General features: G+C 51.5%; 1 annotated feature.

Moving 5' to 3' along the window:
• Positions 888-1387: an enhancer, noted in NCBI's record as "H3K4me1 hESC enhancer chr1:18280089-18280588 (GRCh37/hg19 assembly coordinates)". NCBI's record gives its function as "activates a minimal SCP1, AML or CMV promoter by ChIP-STARR-seq in naive H9 embryonic stem cells {active_cell/tissue: H9 hESC(naive)}" and the evidence as "EXISTENCE:reporter gene assay evidence [ECO:0000049][PMID:30033119]".

Genomic DNA, 8216 nt, shown 5'->3' with positions numbered 1-8216 from the left:
CTCAAAAAAAAAGAAAAAAAAGAAAGAAAGAAAAAGAAAAGAAAAAAGAAAAAAAAATGCTGGCAGCAACCTGAAGGTCCCCCGTGTTGCCCAGGTCTTTTCTGGACTTACCTGCACGGATTCCCACCACCTCTCTCTCTTCCCAAAAGTCCTTAAACAGAGTTTGAAGCCCCATAACCTGGGGGAAACATTTCTTCAAGCACATCAGAATGCAAAAACTTCATTCCCTGATCACCCCATATCACCTGGGGGCACAGGGGTCGGGGGGTATCTTCTAGACCTGGACCCTCCTAAGCCACATCACCAGCCAGGAGCTGGCTTAGGGCACCCAGGCCTGCACTCTGGACCCAGCATCCTGAAGGCTCACCTTTGAGGTCCTGGCCCACAGGTTTAATTCAGTCCAGGTAGAGTGGCAGGAGGTCCAGCCACCAGCTAGCATTAGGATGCTCAGAAGACAAAAGCCTTATCCTCAGGGCAACCCTGGCTCCCAGAGGGAATGGCAAGATGGGGCAGGAATGCCTGCAATTAATTAGATTAAAACCCAAAAGCAGGAATTTTCTTTTAACTGTCTGGCATGTGTCACCATGAGGGAGGGGACAAACGCCTCTGTGGAGGGAAACAGGGTTTGCAGCCACCCAGGGCTCTGGCTTGGTGACTGGGCCCTGCCTGTAGGGACAAAAAGGCTTTGTGCAGGGCCCCAGTCCCATGGCTCTAAGGAAACCCAAGGCCAATCAGCACAGGTGACATCCCCGGCTGATGGCCCTTTTCTTTCCTAAATGTCAATCTCCATTGCCCTGGGTCAGCTTTTCTTGTTCCTGTCTCTACCTTCTAACTTCCCCTCCTCCTCCAGCCCGTCTTTATTTATTTATTTATTTATTTATTTATTTATTTATTTATTTTCTTTTATTTGGAGACAGTCTCACTCTGCTGCCCAGGCTGGAGTGAAGTGGCACAATCTCAGCTCACTGCAACCTCTGCCTCCCAGATTCAAGCAATCCTCCTACCTCAGCCCCACTAGTAGCTGGGATTGCAGGCACGCGCCACCATGCCCAGCTAATTTTTGTATTTTTAGTAGAGACGGGGCTTCACCATGTTGGCCAGGCTGGTGTCGAACTCCTGACCTCGGTGATCCACCCACCTTGGCCTCCCAAAGTGCTGGGATTACAGGTGTGAGCCACCACGTCCGCCCCAACCCATCTTTCTATGAGTCTGCTGCTCTTTCTTTCTCCTCTTCTCTGTGCTGGGCTTTCTCTGTTTGCCCTTCCAGACCCCTGCCCTGTGCTTCTGTGCCTGGCTCTGTGCCCCAAGAGGCTGCCTCTCAGGTGCATCTCCAGGGCTCCCTGACCCTGGCTTCAGTTGACCAGGAAGTACTGGTGGGTTGGAGGCCAGAGGAGAAAGTAACCCGAGACCTGACTCCCCTCTACTTCCCTTGGGGCCCCTCGGGCACTGGCCAATCCTGCAGCTGCAGCTCCTATCCAGTGGTCCTGCCATCACCTGCTGGGTTCTAGAAGCAGCTCCCTCACCTTGGGCTTTGGACTTGCTGGGGAAGGGGCCATGGCTCCTCACGGTCACGGCTCCCTGGGCACTTTCTCTCGCTGGCTTCCCCTCACCCTGCCCACATCTCTATAAAAGACCCCTTCATTAAACTCTCTTCAGTTACACCTGACCACGTGCCCAGTGTCTCCCCAGAGACCCTGACCAATGCCCCCCGCATCCCCGTCTCGGTCTCCCTGCCCCACCGGCACCTGCTTCTCGACCCCATCTCCACCCCCTCTGTCTTTCCATCTCATTCTTTCCAGCTCCATCTTCCTAATTCCATCCCCCTCCATTTCGGTCTCATTTGTTTGTCTCATTTTCTGGGTTCCCTCTTCTCTTTCTCTTCCCATCCCGACTACATAAAATCCTTCATTTCAGAGACAGGATCCACCATCCCACATGACAGCATAGAGGAACGCTCACTGAGAGGATCTGAGGGCCCCTGAAGAAAGTGCCCACCCGAACTAGTCCCTCAACCTCCCACGCCTGCTGCCTGAATTCCACCTTTAGGTCTCTCCATGAGAGTCAAAGCATTGTCAGGGAGGAGAATAAACACCCGGCGTGAGAAAGTGAGTCTGCCCCACCCCTAAACCCCAAGCTTCCTCATCAGCAAACCCCATCCATGCCTCACGAACGTCTCAGGCTCCGCAAGCCCCAAACAGGATCTTATCTTCCTCTCCCTCTCCTCCTCTCCCCCAGCCCCCATTCCTCCCTGGGAGCCACACCTGATCCTTCTTCCTGCAGCCTCCACCTCCAAACTGGCGGCGTGGCTTGGGAATTCAGTGTCTAAAGTAAATCTCCAATACGTATATTGGTCTCCAGCTCCCATGCCCGAATCCAACCCCTCTCCCCTCCTGCCTGGATAATGCGGCAAACCTTCTAACTGGCCTGTCAGCTGCACTCCTGGCTCCTTACCCCACATTCTCCAACCAATCACCAGAGTGATCTTTTTAAAGCGTAAATCAAATCAAGTCATGTTTCTGCCTAGAACTCCGCACAAACCTTCTACCACTTACACTAAAAGCCAAACTCAGGCCCCGGCCCACAGTCCCCAAGGAGCCATCCGCCAGCCTCTCCCTCTCTCAACCTGCTCCACACGGTGTCCCCACCCACAGGGTCAGATCTGCCCAGACCTGTGGGCTCCTAGGTGCAAAGAGTGGTGCTCTAGACCTTCTGGTGCCCCCACTTCGTGCCTGCTGCTGATGGGCAACATGCTGTCCCTGAGAAGGGGAAAGGCTGCACGGCAAGACATGGCTGCCAGCCCCACATTGCCTGTGGAAGCGGTGGCTCCTCCAGGAAGTCCTCCGTGATCTGCCCAGTTCTTAGTGCTTCCTATCTAAGCTCCTACCCAAGGCTGGTCTATCCACCATGTCAACATATGCAATACCTGCCCAAGTTTGTTCTTTGTTGTTTTTTAAAATCTAAATCTGTGCTCATCTATGAGCTAAGTATGTGTCTAAGTCTCATACATAAGGTTGGACCAAAGTCTCCTGAGCACAGAGGTAAGGTCTTGGATATAGGTGAGCCTCTGAGCATTGCAGACCTGCCCTGCTTCCCACTGTCCCTCCTCCACTTTCCCCTCCCACTGCGGGCACCCCTCATTAGCCTTCACCTGTCCCTGAGCCTCCCCTCTGCAGCCCCTACCTTCAGATGCAGGTGAGATCAGGGAAAGTGAGCATCAGCGGCTCCTTGACAAGGAAAGAATAGAAAGGTACCAGGAACAGGCTCCCCATGATTCAAGGCTAGATGGGGGCTCATAACCAGCGTCAGTAGGCCACGGATTTTCTCTTAAAGGGATAGCCATGAGCTCCTCTAGGGAAAAAGCAAACTTCTGCCCATTTCTGAGCCCCAGAGCCTGGGAAAGGCTAACTTTGGAATCTGTCCTGGAGGGAGAGGTTTGGATTTGCACAGCTCTGGTTCCGTCTTCAGACCCTGTCGCTTACTGCCTCTGTAACTTGGCCAGCAGGATGATGACAATCACTGATATTTATTGTATACCTGTGGTGGGCACAGTGGCCAGTGCTGAAGGTATTCACTCGTTTAATTGACACAAAAAGCATAGGAGGTAGGTACTATCATCTCCATTTTACAGATGAGGAAAGGGAGGCACAGAGATTAAGTGTCCTGTCCAATTTCACAGACCTAGTAAGTGGGAGAACCGAGGAGAGTACAGCTCATAGCCCCTGTTCTCACCCTGACCTCACTAGTCAAGGGACCGTGTGGCCCAAGGCAGGGTGGGCTTTGCGGAGTGCAGTCTGTGCAGGCACAAGGGACTTGGTTTACTCTTCTGCTGTTGCCATCCTGAAATTCTCAATAATTTTTTTAACAAGAGACCCCACGTGTTTATTATGCCCAGGGTTCTGCAAATTACATAGCCAGTCCTGCCTCCAGATGTCAAGGTGACTTTGCAGGGTGATGGTGAGACCGGGGACCAGCAAAGCATGCCCTGCTTCCAGCGGCGTGCCTGGGCCCGCAATAGCTATGACTCAAGGGAAGCGAGATCCCACACGCACAGCTCCCCCACGAGGCGGACAGTCTGCCTGACTGTGACGCTGATCACCCAGTGTCACAGTCCAGCTCCGACCCAGGCAGGCCGACAGACCCACACATGGGTGAGCACACACCCACAGCATTCACATCATCACTGAATGCTTTGCATTTTGTCACTCAACTCCCCTAGCCCAATGTCAGATGGGTGTCCATAATCACCACCCCTGGCAGTGGCATGGCACCTCTCCTCATGACCTGCACAGCAGCTCAAAGGACAGGAGATGAAACTGAGGCCCAGAAAAGCATAAATTTGCTCAAGGTCACAGAATCAGAAAAAAAAAAATGGATAGCTGGCCGGGCTCGGTGGCTCATGCCTGTAATCTTAACATTTTGAGAGGTTGAGGGGAGAGGATTGCTTGAGCCCAGGAGGTCAAGGCTGCAGTGAGGCCTGGGTGACAGAGCAAGACTCTGTCTCATTAAAAAAAAAAAAAAAGAGAGACAGAGAGAGAGAGAGTAGAGGAGAAGAGAGGAGGAAAAGAAGAGTAAAAAAGAAAAGAAAAAAAAAGAAAAGAGTGGATAAGCTGAGTCTCAGCCAGGCGCGGTGGCTCATGCCTGTAATCCCAGCACTTTGGGAGGCTGAGGCAGGGGATCACGAGGTCAGGAGATCAAGACAATCCCGGCCAAAATGGTGAAACCCTGTCTCTACTAAAAATACAAAAAAATTAGCTGGGCGTGGTGGCGGCCACCTGTAGTCCTAGCTACTCGGGAGGCTGAGGCAGGAGAATGGCATGAACCAGGAGGTGGAGCTTGCAGTGAGCCTAGATCGCACCACTGCACTCCAGGCTGGGCAACAGAGTGAGACTCCATCTCAAAAAAAAAAAAAATACACAAATTAGCTGATCATGGTGGCACACGCTTGTAGTCCCAGCTACTCAGGAGGCTGAGGCAGGAGAATCATTTGAACCCAGGAGGCGGAGGTTGCAGTGAGCCGAGATTACACCACTGCACTCCAGCCCGGTGACAGAGCGAGATTCTGTCTCAAAAAAAAACAGTGGATAAGCTGAGTCTCAAATCCACAGCTCCTGCCTCCAGTCGCACCTCTTTCCAGCCCACACCCCTACCAGTCTGCCTCTTTTGGTCCAAACTCACCCTTTGATCTGAATCTTTAGTTCCTTCTCATAAAGGCAGACAGAGGCGATGTGGCCCGGCTGCCCTCAGAATTTCCCCTAAGTCTTCAGCCCCCTAAGGTGCTGAGTCAACGTCGGGCTCTTTTTCTGTCTTATTATGAGTGTGCGACAGTGGAGGGGCGAGTGAGAGAGGAGGAGGGGCTGAGCAGAGGACACCAGCCATCACTTACCTATCTATTTATCTGCCTGTCTGGCAACCTGCCCATCTACCTTTGCTTCCGTCTTCTATTTATTTATCTGTCAATCTTTTTTTCTTTCTTTTCATCCCTCACTTGTCTCTATGTGTCAGAGCTACCCATGCCTTTGCTCTCTCGCCCACCTTCCAGTGGGAATCCAAAGGCATTCACCCTCCACAGCCTCATCCTCCAAAACCGCAGCTCTTTTCTTCCCGCTCCCGGCTGGAAAAACCCCACCAGTGTCTGGAAACTCATGCCTGTTCCTGCAGGCTGGCCAAAGGAAGGCTTCCAAGAATCGACCTCGGAGTAAAATTGTTATTATCATCAATAGCAACTAAATAAAACAGCTAATAATAAAATTAATATCATCAACAGCAATGATAATTGGGCACCACATCCATGCAGGCTCTGCGCTCCTGCCTTTTACTCACTCGGCACTTATTTTCTGAGCTCCTGTCACATGCTAAGCTCTGTGTTGGGCCCTTAATGTCAGGAAGTCAAAAGGCCACCACGCTCCCTGAGGAGATGTTTCCACCCTGGGCCACACATACAAATGGGATCATCTCCCATCCTTGAAACAATCCTTCCGAGAAGCCAGGTGACTCCCTCAGGTTCACACAGCCAGTGAGGGGGCACAGCTGCATCAGATGCCAGCCAGGTGCTTCCCAAGCTGGTCTGTCTCCTTCCTGCATCACTGATGAATGCCTTGGCCTGGAGAGGCCCCTGCAGTGCCTGGGAGCATGACAGGGAGGGAGGGATGGGGGTGGGGTGCATGCCCGAGCTACTGGTGGATCAGCATCCGACTCTCCAGGGCCACCCACCCCATCAGCTATTAATCCCTCCACTCAGCCGTGTAATTCTATAGTGTCATGTCGCCCAAGCGCTGTGATGGGCATGCGATTACCACAAACAACATGCTCGGGAGAGGGTGGCGGGGAGGGGACAGGGGGATGCGCACCTCCAGGCATCTCTCCTAGAGCCACCATCACACTGAGCTCTGGGCCTGGGTGGGACAGTTTCAGGGTGAGGGCAGGGGGACAGGAACATCATCCACTGAACCCTCACCCCATCCTGGTGCAGGATTGGACCAACCCCCACCTCTGAAAAAGCATGAGAAATCTGTGCTGAAACATGCTCTGAAAGGGAGCCAATTTGGTGTAGAGCATGGATGGGCAAACTTTCGGTAAAGAGCTGGGCAGGACATACTTTTGGCTTTGCAGCTCTCCTACTCGTCCACTGTAGCCACAGACAATATGTAAACAAATGAGCATAGCCCTGGCCCAATGATTCTTTTTTTTTTTTTTTTTTTTTTTTTTTTTTTGAGACGGTGTCTCACTCTGTCATCCAGACTGGAGTGCAGTGGCGCAATCTTGGCTCACTGCAAGCTCCACCTCCCGGGTTCACGCCATTCTCCTGCCTCAGCCTCCCGAATAGCTGGGACCACAGGCACCCGCCACCACGCCTGGCTAATTTTTTGTATTTTTAATAGAGACGGGGTTTCACCGTGTCAGTCAGGATGGTCTCGATCTCCTGACCTCATGATCCACCCGCCTCGGCCTCCAAAAGTGCTGGAATTACAGGCGTGAGCCACCACGCCTGGCCCCAGTGATTCTTTACAAAAACATGTCCTACAGGTTGGAGTCTGCTGACTCCAGGGCTAGATTCTACACCACCACCACCAACAATAATAATAATAATTAATAATAATAATGAGAGTTAATGTTTACTGAGTACTTACTATGTAGCAGGTCAGTCTTCATAATAACCTCATGAAGCTCGGACCGCTATTCTCCCAAATTTACATTTGATTTACATTTGGGGAAACTGAGGCACAGAGCTGTTAAGTAACTAACTGGTCCAAGGTATCTTAGTCAGTAAGTGGCAGAGCTAGTCAGGAAGTTCCACTTGGTATCCATCCATTCTGTTGTTCAGACTGAAAACTTCGGCATCATCTTTGACCCTGTTCCTCTCACCCCCCTACTTCTAACCCATCAGCAAATTCTATTGGATCCACCTTCAAAATACATCCACAAATCTGATGGCTACTCACCTGCTCCCCCACAGTCATCTTGGTCTATGTCCTCATCATCTCTCACCCGGTTACTGCAACACCCTCCTCCCTTGACTCCCCGAAGTGGGTTCTCCACACAGTAGCCTGAGGCACCTTTTACAAAGGTAGGTCGGATCCTGTCGCTCCTTGGCTCAACACTCTGCAACGCTTCCCCATCTCACTGAGAGCAAAAGATGAGTCCAGCCTGGGTCACATGGCGAAACCCCATCTCTACAGAAAAATACAAAAATTGGCCTGGCGCTGTGGTGCATGCCTGTAGTCCCAGCTACTCAGGAGGTCCGGACAGGAGGATCCATTGAGCCTAGGAGGTCCAGGCTGCAGTGAACTGTGATCACGCCACTGCACTCCAGCCTGGGTGACAGAGCAAGACCCTGCCTCAAAAAAAAAAAAAAACAAAGCCCGGGCACAGTGACTCATGCCTGTAACCCTAGCACTTTAGGAGGCCGAGGTAGGAAGATTGCTTGAGGTCAGACATTCGAGACTAGCCTGGGCAACATGGCAAAATCCCGTCTCTACTAAAAATACAAACATTAGCCTGGTGCAGTGATGCATGCCTGTAGTCCCAGCTACTCAGAAGGCTGAGATGGGAGGATTGATTGAGCCTAGGAGGTTCAGGCTTCATTGAGCCATGATCTCTAGCCTGGGTAACACAGCAAGACCCTGTCTCAAAAAAAAAAAAAAAAAGAAAAGAAAAGAAAAAAGAAAAAAAAAAACAAAGAAAGAAAGAAAAGAAAAAGCTGAGTCCTTCCCATGGTT

Source organism: Homo sapiens, chromosome 1, assembly GCF_000001405.40.
Source record: "Homo sapiens chromosome 1, GRCh38.p14 Primary Assembly".
NCBI lineage: Eukaryota > Metazoa > Chordata > Mammalia > Primates > Hominidae > Homo > Homo sapiens.
This window is presented reverse-complemented; position numbering and strand designations above follow the sequence as displayed.